General features: G+C 37.2%; 1 protein-coding gene and 1 pseudogene across 5 annotated transcripts in view; one reads left to right on the plus strand and one right to left on the minus strand.

Moving 5' to 3' along the window:
* TRAPPC11 (trafficking protein particle complex subunit 11) overlaps nucleotides 1-20,230 on the plus strand; it is a 54,297-nt gene that overhangs the window by 3,029 nt on the left and 31,038 nt on the right. For all 5 annotated transcript variants that reach the window (XM_024454180.2, NM_021942.6, NM_199053.3 and 2 more), the window contains 9 exons: nucleotides 1,526-1,750; nucleotides 3,936-4,105; nucleotides 4,739-4,809; nucleotides 5,682-5,796; nucleotides 12,392-12,491; nucleotides 12,843-12,916; nucleotides 15,137-15,233; nucleotides 17,032-17,165; nucleotides 17,799-17,946. In XM_024454180.2, coding sequence (XP_024309948.1) covers nucleotides 1,547-1,750; nucleotides 3,936-4,105; nucleotides 4,739-4,809; nucleotides 5,682-5,796; nucleotides 12,392-12,491; nucleotides 12,843-12,916; nucleotides 15,137-15,233; nucleotides 17,032-17,165; nucleotides 17,799-17,946 — 1,113 coding nt within the window. In that variant the 5' untranslated portion in view covers nucleotides 1,526-1,546. The remainder of the gene's footprint in view (nucleotides 1-1,525; nucleotides 1,751-3,935; nucleotides 4,106-4,738; nucleotides 4,810-5,681; nucleotides 5,797-12,391; nucleotides 12,492-12,842; nucleotides 12,917-15,136; nucleotides 15,234-17,031; nucleotides 17,166-17,798; nucleotides 17,947-20,230) is intronic.
* Nucleotides 13,282-13,394, minus strand: RNU6-335P (RNA, U6 small nuclear 335, pseudogene; annotated as a pseudogene).

Raw genomic sequence — 20,230 nt, forward strand, 5'->3', positions numbered from 1 at the left:
CTCCAGCCTGGTGACAGAGTGATACTCCGTCTCAAAAAAAAAAAAAAAAAAGAACCTCATGTTGTTACATCCTTTTGCAAGTAAGATTATATTAAAAATATAATGACAGTCTTGTTCGGGATAAACATAGTTTTATATACTTATAAAGTCAGGGCATACGTTAGATTTATTATGGACTGATTCTTAGCTAAAGGACGCAGTGGAAACATCCTCCGAGAGGTTTCCATTCATTGTTAGTTTTTCCCTTACAGATTTTTCTTTAAAGAGTAAATTTTATATTGTGGGAAATGAGACAACATAGCTACTATTTAGATAATTACATAAATTAAAGGCTATTTTAATAATATCCTAGGTATTCAGAAATTCAATATTAGCAATTACAGAGAAATTAGGGGAAGTTTATTATATGTAAGTCAACTGTTTTTCTTTTATATTTTTCTTTCAATATATTTTTCTTTTATAGTTGAAATAGATCATGTAGATCTATTTTAATTTTATCACCTTCTTGCTTTCTTGGTCTACTAATTTCAAAGTTCTGTGTGCATTTTGAGACATTACTGAAAATGCCGATTTGTCTTAAAGTTGACTTCATTTTTAACATGAAAGATTTTTTCTTAAATGTCATATAGTTATTACATTTTAATAGATCTAATTCAGGAATTAAAGTTTTCCCTTTTTCTCTCTTCTGTTTGTTTGACAGTTTGCAGATACTCAAAGCCTTTTGCCTTTTTGTAATGATTATTTTATTTATTTTATTTTTTTTGAGACAGAGTCTCACTCTGTCACCCAGATTGGAGTGGAGTGCCGTGATCTTGGCTCACTGGAGCCTCCGCCTCCTGGGTTCAAGTGATTCTCCTGCCTCAGCCTCCAAGTAGTTGGGGTTACAGGTGTGTGCCACCATGTCCAGCTAATTTTTTGTTTTTTGTTTTTGAGACAGAGTCTCCCTCTGTCATCCAGGCTAGAGTGCAGTGGCGCCATCTTGGCTCACTGCAACCTCCACCTCCCGGGTTCACGCCATTCTCCTGCCTCAGCCTCCTGAGTAGCTGGGACTACAGGCGCCCACCACCACGCCCGGCTAATTTTTTGGATATTTAGTAGAGACAGGGTTTCACCGTGTTAGCCAGGATGGTCTCGATCTCCTGACCTCGTGATCTGCCCACCTAGGCCTCCCAAAGTGCTGGGATTACAGGCGTGAGTCACCACGACCAACCAATTTTTTGTATTTTTAGTAGAGACAAGGTTTCACTGTGTTGGCTAGGCTGGTCTTTAACTCCTGGCCTCCAGTGATCCACCTGCTTCGGCCTCCCAAAGTGTTGGGATTGTATGCGTGAGCCACCATGCCTGGCCTTGTAATGATTATTTTTTTGTAATGATTTTTAAATAGAGATTCATATATTGGAAATGAATATGAGTTGTTTTTTTTTTTTTTTTTTTGAGACAGAGTTTTGCTCTTGTTGCCCAGGCTGGAGAAATGAATATGAGTTTTTAAAAATTAATTATGAATGTATTAACATTTGTATTTCAGGTTTTTTGTGACATCGTAAACATGAGCCCCACACAGTGGGACTTCCCTGTGGAATTATGTTGCCGGCCTATGGCCTTTGTTACTCTAACGGGCCTGGATGTAGTTTATAATGCAGTCCATCGAGCTGTCTGGGACGCCTTCTGTGCAAATCGGAGAGCTGATCGAGTACCAATTTCTTTCAAGGTGCTCCCAGGTGACCATGAGTATCCCAAATGTAGACCCAAGGTAATGGCATTGTGATGGCATGTGTTCTTTCCTTCTCTCTCTCTATGTGTGTGTGTGTGTCTTTTTTGTTCTGTTGTGTGTGTGGAGTTTATCAAGACAGTGGTCACAGTGGTGCATAAAGAAAGCCTTAGGCATTTTCATGTAATACACTGCATGTATATTTAATAATAGTTCTTTTTTTTTAAACTCCAGAGGAATAATTACTTTATAAAGCTTTCTATCCTATGAGCCCAGGTTTTCCCTTTTTTGTTTTTAGGAAAAAACCCAACATAGTCCCCTCTAAAAGGAAGGTCTTGCATTCCCCACCATCATTACTAATGTCGTTTTTGAATCCCATGGTCTGTGCAATGTGGCTCAATTTCACAGATTTTTTGAGCACTTGCTTTGTGATAGGTACCTGGAACCATGCAACAAGCTAGTGATACGAATTTAAGTGAGACAGGTTCCCTATTCTTGAGGAGTTTTACATAAACTAACACAGTTTATTCATTGCGGAATGAAGAAAGGTATTAAGTTCAAAACTGACTTTTAAGGTGAACGACATAGTAAAGACGACTTTACCTTAGATAATAATTATTATCATGATGATAGTATCACTAATAGCTAACATAGTTGTAAAAAAACAGTAAAACAGTTTACTGTTTTAAGCAGTTTATGTGTAGTGATTTGTTATTTATCATAATCTTATGAGGTTGGTTTGAAAGTTAGGTGATAAAACCCTTTTAGTTCTGACCCCTATCCTTTTTTTTTCTTTTGCCCTAGAGCAGTGTCTCTGACATAGTAGTCTCTGGACCAAGTATGTCATCATAACCTGGGGTATTTATTAAAAATGTAGATTGCAGCCCTCCTCTTTGGTTTCTGGGAATATAGGACTTGGTCACCGGCTGATTATTTTTGTGTGTGTTTGAGAACCACACGACAACATTTCATATACTCAGCCCTGGAAACTGAGCTCTCTGAAATTGTGCAAGTAATAGCATCCCAGCCCTGGCCCTCACACGATTATTTTTCTTTTCTTTCTTTTTTTTTTTTTTTTTTTTTGAGACGGAGTCTCGCTCTGTCCCCGAGGCTGGAGTGCTGTGGCGCGATATCGGCTCACTGCAAGCTCCGCCTCCTGGGTTCGTGCCATTCTCCTGCTTCAGCCTCCCGAGTGGCTGGGACTACAGGCGCCCGCCACCACGTCCAGCTAATTTTCTGTATTTTTAGTAGAGACGGGGTTTCACCGTGTTAGCCAGGATGGTCTCGATCTCCTGACCTCGTGATCTGCCCACCTTGGCCTCCCAAAGTGCTGGGATTACAGGCGTGAGCCACCGTGCCAGGCCTACATGATTATTTTTCTTTAGTGTCATGTTTGTGTCAAGAAGGCAGGGAGCCCAGCACAAGCCCTCTTTTCTCTTAATGCTCGAATTCAAGCTGCTTTTCATTTCTCTATTCCCAGCTTTTGGCTGAGTCCCCATGTTATTTTGTGTCAGACTTCCTTATTGACCTCATCTTTCCTTGCTGGAGGTAGACATTGGATCACCATGAAGTGGAGTAGTCTGAGCCAGCACAGCTGATTTGGAAGGAATGTGAGGTTTCAACTGCATCCCTCAGGGCTAACACTCAAATCTACAGCATCCTCTTCCCACTCTGTGGCACTCAGTGCCCAGACTCAAGTGGCTGCTGTGAAGCTTCTGTTTAAGAATTGTTCTCTGCTTTGTACTTCATCTACAAGTGAGGTGAAATGCATCACAGCAATATGTCTTTGAAATAAACAAAGCCTATTGGATTTTAGATAATATTTTATTTGAGCAGTTTTACAAGAACAGAAGCTGGAATGGTGAAGAATATAAGTAGAATTTACCTGGAAATGGGCTACTTTTTTTTTTTTTTTTTTCTTTAGCAAAGTATTTGAGACCCTTGACATCATTAGACATGCATCATCGTTTTATGCATTCAGTTATGGGGCTGATAGAAACTCTTTGGCTTCAGTCATTCTTTAAATGGGAAGTATAGCTTCTCCAGGGTTGAGATTCCACCTTCAACACTTACTAGTTCTTACTGAATCTGTAAGCCTGAGTTTCCTAATCAAAAATGGGAGGTGTGTATATTGAATGAGATCAATGCACATAAAGTGCTTGGCACTCAGTAACAGGTGGTTTCTGCTCCTGTCAGGTAACTTTTCAATTTCTGCCAATGTTTGCAGAGAACTTCATATGAGTGGTACATTCCTAAAGGGATCTTAAAGACTGGCTGGATGAATAAGCATCTGAATCTGGTGCCAGCCCTGGTGGTTGTGTTCTATGAACTGGACTGGGATGAGCCTCAGTGGAAAGAAAAGCAGTCTGAGTGCGCCACCAGAGTGGAAATAGTCAGGTATGATCTTCTGTGTCAGGGCAGCTATGTCAGTTTGCACATGTGTGTTATTCACTAACATTCCTTGAAGGCAATGGAGTACCGTTCAGACTGCAGTGGTCACTTTGCGGATTGACCTCCAGTGAATCTTGTTCACTTCCTCACAGGTAGCATAATTATTGACTGTATATAATGCTGGGTACGTGAAGAAATTTAGAAGACTAATTGGTCTGAATTTCCAAATGTTTTTCTTGTATTATCTTTTTTGGAGACATAGTAATTTACTGTTTAGTCTCTTAAAACGCTTTGCTTTATCACTGTTTAAGTTTCAAATAATTAATTCTTTTGGATGACTACTCTGCAGTGTATCACCATAAAGAAGTAAGTTGCATTATAACTTTTACGTAAAAGTATACATTAATCTTTTGCTTTTAAGGAAGATTTTTAAGATTAGAAGATGTGAGATCATACTTTTAGAATTTAAATCATTGTGACATATATGTGCTTTGTGTGCAGGAAAAGATTTCTTCTGATCTTGGTTTTTTTAGTTGAAATTTATCTTCGGTTGAATGACCAAGGTTGTATTTTATGTGAAGTCATGAATACATTTTTTAAGTTAAAATAATTAATTTTATTCTTGCTTTTTCATTGCAGGCAAAGTTTACAAGGAAGAAACACAAAAGTTGCAGTGGTTCTGATTCAGAAGAAAACCCCTTTGCCCCCAGGTATCAGAAGTCTAATTAATGAATTAATTGTTTTATACCTCCAATTCTTATTAAAGGGAGATAGGGGTTTTTTGGATGTTTAAATCTTTTATGCATTCAGTTATGGGGCTGATAGTATGTTAACTTTAAAAAGCACCAATGATACATGAACAAATGCTTATTGTAAAAAATTAAAGATAGTGAAGAATGCAAATCTCAAGTTCCCCTAGTTCCCCTGTTCCACTTGTCTTCTTATGTAGGGGATATAGGAAGGCATGTTCAATTCACAAAACAATTCGCTTGAATTTTTTTACAAGAGTATAATTTTTTTTGACTTCCAAAGCTTTCCAAAAAAGAATATAATTTACTTATCTAAGATCTATTTGAAGCTGTATTCCTTATATGAAATTTTTTCATTAATTTTCTGTAGGGCAAAGAAAAAGGCTATAGGATTTGTAGTTTTCTCTTGGAAAATGTCTTAGTTTCAGATTCTTATTTCCACTTTCCCAGACTTTTGTAGACCAAAATATATTTTTGTTTCTGTGTTGAAACTTATAGCATCCAAAATGGTTTTGGAGACTTCTTTCATGAATTATTGCTTCCAGTTTTAGTTATGTTTTTTGAAATAGTTATGTGGTATATCTGTTGGCATTACTTGGCCACCTATCCTGGCTCAGTAGAAAATTCCACAGTGTTTTCCTAAAAGGCATATACTGTGTAACCTCTAAGAACCACACAGAGCTCTCAAGGAGCCCAGGAGTCCTGTTGGTGTGATGAAAAGCTGTTTGGGTTTTTATTCCTAATTCTATTTTTTCAGACTTGGGGAAATATTTATTTGGGAAGCTACATTAGTTATTTTATTTCTCATTCATCTTGATGGGGATTATCAACAGGAGAAGATGTCATTGCTTCAGAAAGGGCTGCAGCTTTATGCAATGCATGTGAACTCTCAGGAAAGTCTTTGTTTGTACTGCCGCACACTGACCACCTTGTGGGTTATATTATAAGGTAAGTAGAGGTCTTTTAAAGTTTTGTTTTTTTAGATTATTAAGAATTGAGAAATTGGTAGCTTAGACCCATTTATTTTTTTAAAAAATCATGTTCATGAAAAACATTCATATGATACAGAGGCTATGGGGTAAAAATAAAAGTCTTTTTTGTTAAATTCTTAACCCTCTCCAATTCCCTGAGGTAACCAGTATCAACAGTTGCTCAAGTTTCCTTCCAAAAAAAGTCTTTTTGTATAAGAACAAATATATGTATTTCTTTATAGTATCCATACCACACACACAAACACAAAAACATAAATGTGCTCATATGATACACAGTGATCTTCCACTTAACATTACCTCATTAACATGCTTCCATATGTGCATCTAGGTCAACTTTATTTAAAGAAACAAAGTTTATATGTTTCTCCATTATACTTTCCAGTAATTACCCATGTCCTTGAGTGACATGTATGTCCTTTTTTGTGAGAGTGTCTCCATTCCACTCTGGCCTGTTTTTGCTTCATTCTTGAGCTGTCGATGTATCTATGTCACTAATTTCTTAGGAAGGTGTGAGCCCTATCATATCTTAAATATTTTTATAAAGCCTTTGTGTATAAAGGGCAGATTACCTGGAGACACAACATTACCTCAAAAATCATGTGGTCATTATTCATTGTTTTGTAGCATTTATTGTCACACAGAAGTTTTGTAGTAGTACATTTTATGCTAGGATGTATTTAGATATGAATATTTTCATTGATTTTGACTGTAAAATGGTTTTCCTTTTCATTCTGCATAAGTGTCCTTCGTTAACTCATGAACAGTTTTATTTATTTTTGAGTATTGCTTCTCTTGCATTTGTTTCTTTCTCAGAAGCAAACCTCTGAAAATGATCCGCTGCAGGAGGTTACCTGGCCTTCTCACTGGTATATAAAAGACCAGGCTTCTAAGAAAGAGAAGCATACATTTAGCAGAGAACATGCAGAGGAATAGGATCAAATGAAAAGATGAATTGCAAAGAAACTTAAATGCAATTAGCAAAATAAATCTTTACACTGGAAGCAGTAAACAGTAGAATTCACACCACAGAAAATCAAGTCCATGGTGCCCAGGGTAACATTGAGATAATTGCTTAGAATTCAGAGGAAAAGAATAAATGAGTTTTATTCCTTAAATGCAGACATATGAGCAATAGGGAACAGAGAGAAGAGAGGGGCAGCTGGTAGCACACTCAGGCAGCTTTTCTTTCCACTGAGGCTCATCCCAGCATCACACCTGGCCTCAGCTCTCCAGGCCTGGACAGCTCACCATTGACTCTGCACTTCAGTGCTTTCCTATTCACAGTGCTGTTCCTTGTCAGATGCTTTCATAGTCATGCCCACCTGCCAGCTCTCCTTTTCTGGGCTCTCTCTTACTCAACATTTAAGGCTTCAACGAAGCCTTCATTAGAAAGCTGTTGTCCTCTGTGCTATACCCTGCTGTAATGACTCTTCACTGAGCAGCATTACCTTCCAGAGACTATTTGGCAATGCCTGGAGACTTTTATGATTGCCATAACTGAGGGGGTTGCTGTATTGGCTTCCAGTGGGTAGAGGCCAGGGATGTTGCCACACACTCTACAGCGTACAGGACAGCCCTGCACAACAAGGAATTACCTGGCCGAAATGTCAGCAGTGCTGAGCTTGAGAACCCTACCTTAACCATCAGTGATCCTGCCCACCACAGCTTTCAAATTTAGGCGGTCATGGATTCAAGAGAAACAGAGGATGGGCCTCTGCCCTTAACCACTTGTAGTTTTGTTGTGGATGATGAAACATTTCAATAAGGAGTACATTGTCAAAATAACTGATGTAAAAACAAGTGCCCTGGGTCCATAGCCTCCAGCATGTGGATACAAGATGGGGAGTGCATAAGATAGTCCATTGGAGATGAGGAAACTCATAGACCCTTTCTTCAGATTTATATTTTATCTTCAGAGAGAGAGAGAGTAAAGCTGAATATCAGGACATCTTCATCTCATTGATCTGGGAGGGAAGTAGTGGAGCTACTGATGGCACACTTACTCCTGTGCTTTCAGAGCCTTTCGAGGTATTACCTATACATGCTACAATGATTTCATTAGTGTTTTTTTAAGTGTCAAAATGTTAGAATCTTGATAAAACTTCTGTAATGCATTGGGAGTGATTGTGCAAATCTTTTGTATTGGAGAAGTTTGCTGATCATTTCAAGGCAAAATACAGGAGTTGTCCAAGTTAATGATTCGAGTAAGCTTTTTTCTTTTATTAAAAAGTAAGTGTTCCCAACGTTCAGACCTTTCCTCTTAGGACAATAGGCTGTCTGTGTCATGCTTACTAGCAGCTGTTTAAAAACCACGCACATACTTTGCCTTTCAAAACAAAGGTGACAGTTTAATAATGAGTAAGAAAGCAAATGCTTCTCAAAGGAAAGTTGTGCTATAGAGAGAATATGCCAAAAATGGCTCTGGAAAATATTGGAAGCAGTTTTCTTTTCTTTTCATTTTTAAGATGGAATCTCATTCTGTCACCCAGACTGGAGTGCAGTGGCACAATCTCGGCTCACTGCAACCTCTGCCTCCCAAGTTCAATCGATTCTCCTCCCTCACCCTCCTGAATAGCTGGGACTACAGGCATGCACCACCACACCCGGCTAATTTGTTTGCTTTTGGTTTTTGGTTTTTTTTTGAGACAAAGTCTCACTCTGTCGCCCAGGCTGGAGTGCAGTGGCGTGGTCTTGGCTCACTGCAACCTCTGCCCCCCAGATTCAAGTGATTCTTCTGCCTCAGCCTCCCAAGTAGCTGAGATTACAGGCAATCTTGGCCAGGCTGGTCTTGAACTCCTGACCTCATGATCCACCCGTCTCAGCCTCCCAAAGTGCTGGGATTATAGGCGTGAGCCACCATGCCTGGCCTAATATTTGTATTTTTAGTAGAGTCAGGGTTTTACCACATTGGCCAGGCTGGTCTCGAACTCCTGACCTTAGGTGATCCGCCCACCTCGGCCTCCCATAGTGCTGGGATTACATTCATGAGCCACTGTTCCCGGCCCTGGAAGCGGTTTTCTAATTAGTTTAAAATTATTTGAAGCAAAGAATTTCCATGGGCTTGAACTCCGTTGTTAAAAATACAAAACGATGTATGCAGATGTACAGATTCATGCAGTTAGATTTTTGTCTCTGATCTTCGTCTTTCCATAAATTAAAAATTGGAACTGCTGTAAGCATTTGGCTGGGCGGGACAGTATTGAAGCAGTGTTTCACTCTCCCTTCTGTCCCCTTTTCCTGAAAAGGCTGGAGGAGAAAGGAAGAAAGGATGTAAGGACCCCACCCCTCATCCCCCGCAGCCCCAACTGCTGCTCCTGCTTCTGCTCTTGTGCCTTTTATTTGCAGCCTTTAGCACAGGATCTACCTTCAATATAACTTCCTTTTAAGTATACAGTAGTCCTCCTTTTGTCCTCCAAAGTTGTGTGAATATTTTTGCCTCTTAGGTACTTTACAAAATTCGGGAACACCCCTTTTAGACATAAATCTGCATCTATAACTTAGAAGCTAGAATGTCCTTCACCTGAAAACCGGTAGCTCTCTTTCCTGGAATCGGTGCTCGTTTTTCAAAGTTCAGTTGCAGTGGCTAAAATATATGTTTGTATGCTCTGAAAAATGTGCTTGCTTGATATGCTAGTGCAGTGGTGGCAGAAAATGGACTCCAGGTGATCTTTATATGAATATTGCTAAGAGTAAATATACATGTGTTCTAATAAAAAGTTAGAATAAGGAGCAGCTCGTAATTAAAAGTTTAACCTAAATTATCTGGTAGGATAAATTCTATTTCGAGACAGGTCAAACAATAAAATACAGATAATTGTGTGCGTATTTGTATATGTGTATGTACGTGTGCATCTTGTCTAGCTCAAAACAAGTTGATCAGGTTCCTACCTTCATAAAGAAGCTGATTTAACTGTGGAGACCAAAAGCATCCATGTTAAATTCCACAGAGCACTGCAAGTGTAAATTCTGTAATATAGTTTGTAAGTCTTACAGGATTTCAGAGAAGAAATAAATAGATGTGACCTGGGAAGGTTTAAGGAAGAGGAAGGCCTGCAACTGTGCTTGAAGGTGTGGATTAGTGGGAGGAAGTAGTGGTTATTTTGGACAGAGGAATGTCATAAAAAAGCATGGACATCTGAAGTTCAGCTAGTTTAAATCACTAAATGGGAAGACTGAATCGGTTGGATTTTTTTTTATTGTAGAACAAAAAAAACTGAAGGTCTCTTTCCTTAAAAGAGCATTCTTAATGTTTGGTGTTGCCTTAAAAGTGTAATGTTTGAGTATCTGGTAAGAGAATTGGTCTTTTCACTAACAGCCTTATGTCTTGACTAGATTTGTCGTTTATTTATTTATGTTTGTGAAACTGGTTATAAGGTTTTCTCCAAATAAGCCTCAAATAATAAAGAAGTGTATGAATTAAAAAGTGGAAGCCTTACAACACTTATGCTCTATCCCGTGATGTCTCTGTAGCCTGTTACGGTTAAAGCGAGGGAAAGATTTGACTCTGTATCCCTCAGTTTAGAGGAAATAATAGCACTTACCAAGCCTACTTACTCTCAGTCTTCTGTATTGACTGTTTAACAGGTGTTTTATCTCTAAGTACACATTCAGCTTGAAAACTAAAACCACACTTATCTTTGATATTTACTGAGACAATCTAGATTAATAATACTGATTCTCTATTGAGAAGGATTTTTTGTTTTTGTTTTTTGAATCATTCAGAATAGTCTGTAGACATATTTCTGGCTACCATAACATTAGATATTCTAGTCAGTGCCTTGTTGCTACCCGTTCGCAAATTTTTTTTTTTTTTTTTTTTGAGATGGAGTCTCGCTCTGTTGCCCAGGCTGGAGTACAGTGGCGTCATCTCCGTTCATTGCAAGCTCCGTCTCCTGGGTTCATGCCATTCTCCTGCCTCAGCCTCCTGAGTAGCTGGGACTACAGGTGCCCACCACCACACCTGGCCAATTTTTTGTATTTTTATTAGAGACAGGGTTTCACCGTGTTAGCCAGGCTGGTCTTGATCTCCTGACCTCGTGATCCGCCTCTGCCTCCCAAAGTGCTGGGATTACAAGCGTGAGCACTGTGCCCGGCCCCCATTTGCAAAATTTAAAGGATAGCTTAGGTTAATACATTCCTTCACACATTATTTGGTTCAAGGTTAGATTCTAATTTTGTCATATTTTAACATTTTTAAAACTACAGTTTTGAAAATAGAAAAATCTTAAAAGGCCGGACATGAGGGTTTATGCCTGTAATCCCAATACTTTGGGAGATCGAGGCATTTGGATCGTTTAAGTCCAGGAATTTGAGACCAGCCTGGGCAACATGGTGAAACCCCGTCTCTACAAAAAATATAAAAATTAGCTGGGCGTGGTCATGTATGCATGTAGTTCCAGCCACTCTGGAGGCTGAGGTGGGTAGATCACTGGAGCCCAGGAGGCTGAGGCTGTGGTGAGACTTGATTGCACCACTGCACTCCAGCCTGGGCAACAGAGCGGGACCCTGTCTCAAAAATGAAATGAAATGAAATGAAATAATGAAATGAAATGAAATGAAATATCTTAACCTAGAAAATCAAATATAAAATATAATAGCTGATATTTAAGTTCGTCTTTTATCTGGCTATGAGTTCTGCTTTCTTTCACGCCCTAGGCAGATAACTCCTGATAACTTCTTTTCACCAAAGAAAGCTTGAGTTGTGTATCCATCTCTGGTCAGATTTTCTTGTTCCTATGTAAGTTATAGAATGATGGAGGATTTAAATCACACAAATGTTTTCACCTTATTTGCCAGTTCTCATTTTTGGTTCTTTCCCCATTAGTTTTCTTATTCTTTTAAATCCTAAATACTAAAATCACCAAAAAACTGAAATCTAATTGATTAATAATTTTTTTCAGACTTTTTATAAAAATATAAAATAGTAGGGGCGAATGTGCTTTTAGAGATTCCAATCAAATTTTAGGCCAGGAGCGGTGGCTCACACCTGTGATCCTAATCCCAGCACTTTGGGAGGCCAAGGTGGGCGGATCACTTGAGGTCAGGAGATCAACACCAGCCCTGCTGGCCAACATGGTAAAACCTCACCTAAACTAAAAATATAAAAATTAGCTAGGCATGGTGGCACATGCCTATAGTCCCAGCTACCTGATAGGCTGAGACACAGGAATCGCTTGAACCAGGGAAGTGGAAGTTGCAGTGAACCAAGATTGCGTCACTGCACTCCAGCCTGGGTAGTGACAGAGCCAGACCCTGTCTCAAAAAAAAAAAAAAAAAAAAAAAAAGATTACCAAGTTTTTATGAATCAGAGAAAGGTATTTTTATTTGTTGTATCCTGTATTATAAATAATTTTAAATGGCTTTTGGATGGTCTTGTTTTTAGACTTTTTGATCTGAAAATTCAGGTTATCTTTTGCTTCACTTTGTCTTATTCATAATGTAAAACAGATATTTCTGTCACCATTTTACTTTCAGGTCTCACAAATATTCTTGAAAAGTTTGGTTTAAAATAATTCAATATGTAAATGCTTGTTTGTTTTTGTTTTTTACAGATTGGAAAATGCCTTTTATGAACATGCACAGACTTATTACTACACTGAGATCAGAAGAGTGAAATCTCATAAAGAATTTTTGAATAAAACAACACACCAGGTGCGTGATTTTTTGCAATAATAGAAGCATTCTGGAGCGGATTATTATTATTTTTGAGGTGATTATTACATGTTCTTAATACTTTAATGTTTTAAATGGTTTCAGCATTTCTAAAGTTTTTTTCAATGCTTTTAAAAATTAATTTGTTTTTAAATTAAACTCTTTGCTTTTAAAGTTCTTAAAGGTAGATTTTTATAGCCTTCTTAATTGTGCCTTTATTTGTGGGAATAATTCTTGTATTTCAGTTTTGAATATTTTTCTTCATTCTTTTATGTCTCCTCATAATAAACATTATAATTTTCACATTTTAAATAGAATATGTATAATAGTAATTTTTTTGTCTCTTTTTAGCTTTTATTTGTTAGGCATCAGTTCAAAATAGCTTTCTTCAGTGAGTTGAAACAAGATACACAAAATGCGCTGAAGTAAGTTAAGCTTTCAAACTAAATGTTTCCTATTTTTATATTAACAATAACATGTGATGGAAATTTCTGAATCTCAGCCAAAGTATAATTAAGTTTAAAGTGTTCATATTGCTTAGATTTAGGAATTAGTGTAGAGATGAATGGAGTATAATATTTTAGGATTTTTAAAAATTTTCATTTTATTATTGGAAGTAAATTTCATTGTGTCATAAAGCTTTCTGGTTTGATTAATTAAATTTTATGAGCCACAGAAATGTAATATTAAAATTTTCCCCATCTTCTTGACTTTATTTTGTGTATACTCTGTAAAATTCTTGTAAGAGGCTGATTTAAACATTATCTAAATCGGACTTTGTTTTTCCAAAATAAATTTTTAAATGTGCCTCTTCACAAATTTGCATGTCATCCTTGCGCAGGAGCCACGCTAATCTTCTCCGTGTTGCTCCAATTTTAGCATATATGCTGCTGAAGTGAGCACCAGACTATTGATTTTTATAGGTTTATACACTAGTACATTTATTAAATTCAATTTTTTAAATTAAATTTTAATGTTATCAGTCAGTTGCATCATTTTCCATTTGAAGTCTCTGCTTAGAGCCTTGAAGATTAGTTGCAGATGTGTTGGCAGTGGTTAAATATTTTAGTCCTTTGCTTTTACGAAGCAGAATTCAATGAAACTTGACCTCTTTGTAGCTTTAACTCACTTTTTGAAGACAAAGGTATTAAAAACAGCTATTTATCCCAAAATTGAGGAGGGCAAAGAAAAATAGAAATAAATAAAAATAATTTTATTATTCACAGGAATATTGCAGAAACATCTTATTTTTGTTGTTGTTTTGAGATGTTTAAGTACCAAAGCACCAAGTTGTGTTTCCTGAATCTCAACAACTTCATATAACTGGCTTTAATGTAGTTCATTTTTTTTTTTTGAGACAGAGTTTTGCTCTTGTTGCCCAGGCTGGAGTGCAGTGGCGCGATCTCGGCTCACTGCAACCTCTGCCTACTGGATTCAAGTGATTCTCCTGTCTCAGCCTCCCGAGTAGCTGGGACTACAGGTGCCTGCCACCACGCCCAGCTAATTTTTATATTTTTAGTAGAGACAGGGTTTCACCATGTTGGCCATGCTGGTCTCGAACTCCTGACCTCAGGTGATCCACCCACCTTGGCCTCCCAAAATGCTGGGATTACAGGTGTGAGCCACTGCGCCTGGCCTGTAGTTCATTTTTATCGATGGTATTAGTTTAAATCCTTCAATTTCAGTTCTGTTCAAAAATAATTCTGGAAAGAAATACATTTACCTGGAAAAGTTATGAACAAACTTTTTCTATGAAAAGCCTGTTTTGAGATTTCCTCATTTCCTTCCATGTGCAAGGTAGGCCCTGTTCCCAGCAGGCCCTCCTTTCTCACCATGCTTCTCCTTCAGCGTGAGCTGCCCGAAGGACATCTTTCCCTGCTCTGTAGACTTTACCTGAGGCCAGTAATATTCACTTAACCTGTAGAGGTACTTGGGGTTAAAAAGCTGTTGACCTGTGCTGCTGTTTTTTTGAGATGGCATCTCCCTCTGTTACCTGGGCTGGACTGTGGTGGCACGATCTCAGCTCACTGCAGTCTCTGCCTCCTGGGTTCAAGGGATTCTCCTGCCTCAACTTCCTGAGTAGCTGGGATTACAGGCTTGTGCTACCACACCCGGCTAACTTTTGTATTTTTAGTAGAGACGGGGTTTCACCCTGTTGGCCAGGCTGATCTGAAACTCCTGACCTCAAGTGATCCGCCCACCTCAGCCTCTCAAAGTGCTGGGATTACAGGTGTGAGCCACCGTGCCTGGCTGACCTGTGCTGTCTTGATACCACCTTTGCTAATAAAATTTCTATTTGTTTGAGAGCTTGTAATGGTACTTTAAAATACTTATGTTTTTTAACAGAATGCTGATTTTTCTGGACAGTTGTCCAATTTCCTTTTTTAAGTTATCTGTTTGTTACTGACAGATGTTAATGACAGGAAGAACAACGCACATGTCATGGTTCTGTTCTTTATGAAATCATTGATTCCTCTCATATATTTAATAACTAATGGCTCATTTATCAGGAAATCAGAGATTGACATTATTGAGCTGTTGAGCACTAAAATGTTGAGTAAATATTCTTTGTTATTTCTAGTGATTTGGTTCTTAGAAATCGTTTATTAAACTAATTTATATCATTAACCACCCTCCTCATTTAGGAATTATAGGACCGCCTATAATCTTGTACACGAATTGAGAGCCCATGAAACTAATATTCTGGAAATTAAGACTATGGCAGGATTTATAAACTACAAGGTAATAATTCTGCTTCCAAATACAGGGAATTTGTGTTTCAATATTAAATTATCTTTTTAAAATTTGAACATCAAAATTAATTTCTTGCTCTGAAAAGTTAGTATTTGATTAATTATGATCTCCCCTTTTATATCCTTTTTCTCAGAAGGGCATCGATTCTTAGCAGGCTATTTATAGTAGTTGTATTTTGAATTGATAAGTTCTAGAGGTTTTAAAAGTTTGGAGGGTTTTTTGGTTTTTGTTTTGTTTTTCAGTGGGAGCAAGGAGGAGTTGAGAAGAAAGCTGCCTGTATTACTGAGTTTTAAAGGATAAAATTATTAGAACTATGTGACTTCTTCTTGGTTTAATGGCACAGAAAAGAAGTGTCTATTCACCTTAGAGGAAACTTTTTTTTTTTTTTTTTGAGACGGAGTTTTGCTCTGTTGCCAGGCTGGAGTGCAGTGGTGGGATCTCGGCTCACTGGAACCTCTGCCTCCTGGGTTCAAGCAATTCTTCTGCCTCAGCCTTCTGAGTAGCTGGGAGTACAGGCATGCGCCACCACACCCAGCTAATTTTTGTGTTTTTAGTAGAGACATGGCTTCACCATGTTGGCCAGGATGGTTTCGATCTCTTGACCTCGTGATCCACCTGTCTCGGCCTCCCAAAGTGCTGGAATTACGGGTGTGAGCCACCACGCCCAGCCAGAGGAAACTTTTATACCTACTGTTTGAGCATTTTATTTTGAGATTGTCTATCACAGGAATAGGTGCCCTCAGAAGTCAAGCAACGGCTGTTTGGTTTGCTTTTAGTTTTTTCACATTCATCTTAAAGATGCCTGACTCTGTGTTGGTGATGTATGGCCAAATAGATACTTTAATTCGCTGTTTTTTTCTAATAGGAAAAGATTAGAAACAACCCAGTTGTAAGTGATTGGTTATATAAATTATAACTGTAAACAAAGAAATATTAAAAGCTGTTGAGAATGAGGCCGCTCTATGTAGTGATATGGAATAATACCCAAAATATATTGCAAGATGAATAAAGTCACAGATTAGCATATTTAGTGTGATGTTGTTATTTGTATAAAAACAATAGTTTTCTAGAAAGGCATACACATACTTATCTGTGTGTAGAATATATCAGGAAGCATATGGCAGAAACTGATTGCCTCTAGAAAGGGAAATTAGATGGCTGAGAGACAGGAATGGATGAGAGACTGACTTTTCATGTGTTCCTTTGTACTTAAAAAATAAAAGTGAAAATTGTAACAAGCATATGGAAATAAATTTAGGCTTTGTTTCTTCCTTTTTTCCTTTTGCCCCAAATACATACATATTAGTACTATTTTGAAATAGCATGCCAGCCACAAAATTTTCAAGAATTTCTGTAATACTTGTTTGATATGGAGGTAACTTTGCTTTAATTATGCTACAGAAAATCTTTAGCTTTATGACAAGTCTAAAACTGAAAATTGATCTATCTTATCTCAATTACCTGTTGGACATAGTTTATTTTAGTCCATGTTCTTCATTGGGGATAATTTTTAAATTCTGTTCCATATTTTTTAAAAGCTTTTCTAAAGTGTAGAATAAATTATGTACAAATAGTGAGTTATTTTATTTCATTTCTAAAAGGGATATATAACCTTTGGTTTTAGCATAACCATTCTGATGAGGAAAATTAATTGTATTGCAAAGAGCTTCAGAGAAGGAAATTTCATTGTCTTTTTCTAATGTTATTCTCAAAATAGTTTTTAAATGAATATGTCTTTTGACTTTCTTTTTTTCCTTTATTTTGGGATCAATTTTACATTTTGCAGATCTGTAGGCTGTGTTTTCAACACAACACCCCATTGGATGCAATTGCTCAGTTCCGAAAACACATCGACTTGTGTAAGAAAAAGATTGGAAGTGCAGAGCTGTCTTTTGAGCATGATGCATGGATGTCTAAACAGTATGTTTTACATTGTCCTTTTAGAATTTTTTAAAAATGATACATAGTATTTGGAGAAATAGCATGGACTTTGGTTCTAAAACTGAACCAGGTTTTTTGTCACTAAGTAGGTTTTTGATGATGTAGCATAAGTATGTTTCTGGTAATATTGTACATTGATATTGTATACAGTTCCTTAATGGGAATTATTTAATTCATGGTACCATCTTTTTCATTCAGCATATATTTATTGAGTCTCTACCATATGTCTAGGTCCTGGGGATATAGCAGTAAACAAAATTCCTGCTGTCATGGAGCTCACTGTTTGAGAATGAAGTTTAAAAATTGCTAAAATGAAATTGTTCCCAGAAACTTGGGTGTATTTATTTGAGTGGTAGGAACTATGTTGAGATCTAGTTTGATGGTATATTTATAAAGACTTGTTAGAAGAGATGACTTAAATATAGAACCTATCTGTAACCTACAGTTAGTGTGTATTAATATTTACAAAGAAATTAGAACAAATATTAACTGTTCATCAATAGCACCATTTTAACACAGTCTGCTGAGGTTAAGTTTCCCAGGATGAATTACCAGAAATAAGCTTCTTTTTCTTTTCATTCCTCTTTATTTCTTGATTTTCTTTTCTTTAAGATTCCAGGCCTTTGGAGATTTATTTGATGAAGCTATTAAGTTAGGGTTAACAGCTATTCAAACTCAGAATCCTGGTTTCTATTACCAGCAGGCAGCATACTATGCCCAGGAGCGGAAACAGCTTGCAAAAACCCTCTGTAACCACGAAGTAAGTTACTCACTCCGTATTATCTAGCACATAGAAAAGTTATTCTTCTTTTGAAAGAAGCTAGAACTGATTGGTGTTGATAATTTTTTCCAAGTCTTTAAATTTAATTAGTTTTTATTTTTTATAGCTTTAGGAATTACATTGATCTTTGGTTTTAGCCTGAGTACTCTGTTTTCACCTGTGAATTGAGCAGAAGTTTTTCTTTGAAGAACTAATTTTTGGCAGTAAGTTAGTGACTATTTAGACAAGAGAAAATTACTTTAAAAGCCACATTTTCATCCTTGTCACACTATAAATCCATTGTTTTGTTTCTATGATCACTGCTGTAAAAGTTTGGAAATCTGTTTTGACCCACTGGAGAGGATAAATTTTGACTTCTTTCTCTTCCTGGGGTTTTCCTGTATGGAGACTCTTTTTTTTTTTTTTTTTTTTTGGAGATGGAGTCTGTCTCTTGTTGCCCAGGCTAGAGTGCAGTGGTGCAGTCTCGGCTTACTGCATCCTCCATCTCTTCATCTCTTGGGTTCAAGTGATGCTCCTGCCACAATCTCCTGAGTAGCTGGGATTACAGGCGCCCGCCACCACGCCTGGCTAATTTTTGTACTTTTAGTAGAGATGGGGTTTCGCCACGTTGGCCAGGCTGGTCTCAAACTCCTGATCTCAGGTGATCTGCCCGCCTTGGCCTTCCAAAGTGCTGGAATTACAGGCGTGAGCCACCGCGCCTGGCCTCCTGTGTAGAGACTCTTAAGAGTCTGTTTGAGGAGTAGTGTTCATTGCATAGTTTCTTGATGTTTCAGTTTGCCTTTTTCTTGGAAGATTACATTTAGATATCAGTTTTCTTATAAACACCTTTAAAATAAGAACGTGGTATATATATATAAATATATTTATATTTATATTGTTACAGTAGTTTATTTTCACTTAAAACCTGCAGTTCTCTTCTCTGAAGATGAGTGAATATTATCAGTAGTACTATTTTTAAAACTGTTCCAAAAACGAATAGATTGTATATTAGTACTTAAAATGAATGGATTTTTTTCTCTAAAATGATGATTTAGCTGTTTTTGCCATGCTATTTGTATGATTTGTAATTTTATTGTGTGTATTATATTTCTAAAGTTTGGCATATTGTAATTTTGAACACAGTATTTTAAAAAGTGACTAAAACTAGGTTTTATAAGAATGTAAGGAACTGGGCATTAATAAATATCATTGGTTAAAATGTAAATTAATGGGCCGGGTGCGGTGGCTCACGCCTGTAATCCCAGCACTTTGGGAGGCTGAGGTGGGCAGATCACAAGGTCAGGAGATCGAGACCATCCTGGCTAACACGATGAAACCCCGTCTCTACTAAAAATACAAAAAATTAGCCGGGTGTGGTGGCGGGGGCCTGTAGTCCCAGCTACTGGGGAGGCTGAGGCAGGAGAATGGCGTGAACCTGGGAGGCGGGGCTTGCAGCGAGCCGAGATCGTGCCAGTGCACTCCAGCCTGGGCGACAACTCTGTCTCAAAAAGAAAAAAAAAGTAAAATAAAATTTCCATCAAATAATAATTTGAGAAGCTTTAAAACTGTGCATATCTTTTGACCTAGAATTTAATTTTTGGAGATAACTAAGGCAGCTAATAAATTCTGAAATAAGTACCAAAATTTATTTATAAAGTTGTTCTCACAGATTTATTAATTAATTGTAAAATAGAAATAAGATGAATAGCTATAGGGAATTTGTTAAAATATGCACTAGTAAGCAGCCATGAAAAATAATGTTTTAGAAGAACATTTAATGCTGGATTAAATATACAGAATATATTTAAATGAAAGAAGGAGGTTGAAAATTAATCATTAACAAATTTGTGCATGTGAAATCTGGAAGAATGATAACATACATTCTTAACAGTGGGAGTTGGTAGTAGGTTTATAAGTAATTTAGATTTTCATCCTTTTGGATGTTTTCTGCATTTTTCATGTATTACGTTTTGGTTTCAGAGGGAAAAGTTAAAAAGAAGAAAAAGCACTGTAAATCTGTCAGTTCTGGTGCCAAAAATATTCCCCCACAATAGCAAGATTTAATACAGAAGTGATAAAGAAGGAAAATAGTGTCTTCTTTGTAGAACTCCTTGTAACATTGTTTTCATTTACACAAAGAGCATGTATGCATGCGGAATAAATATAGAGCATAATTTGTAATATATTTTTACTGGTTTATTAGAGCAAAGATTAAAAAAGTGAAGAAATTACTGTGAAATCATTTGTCAGAATCAGATTGATTTTTATGAGACTACCTAAATAT

Source organism: Homo sapiens, chromosome 4, assembly GCF_000001405.40.
Source record: "Homo sapiens chromosome 4, GRCh38.p14 Primary Assembly".
NCBI classification, from domain to species: Eukaryota; Metazoa; Chordata; class Mammalia; order Primates; family Hominidae; genus Homo; species Homo sapiens.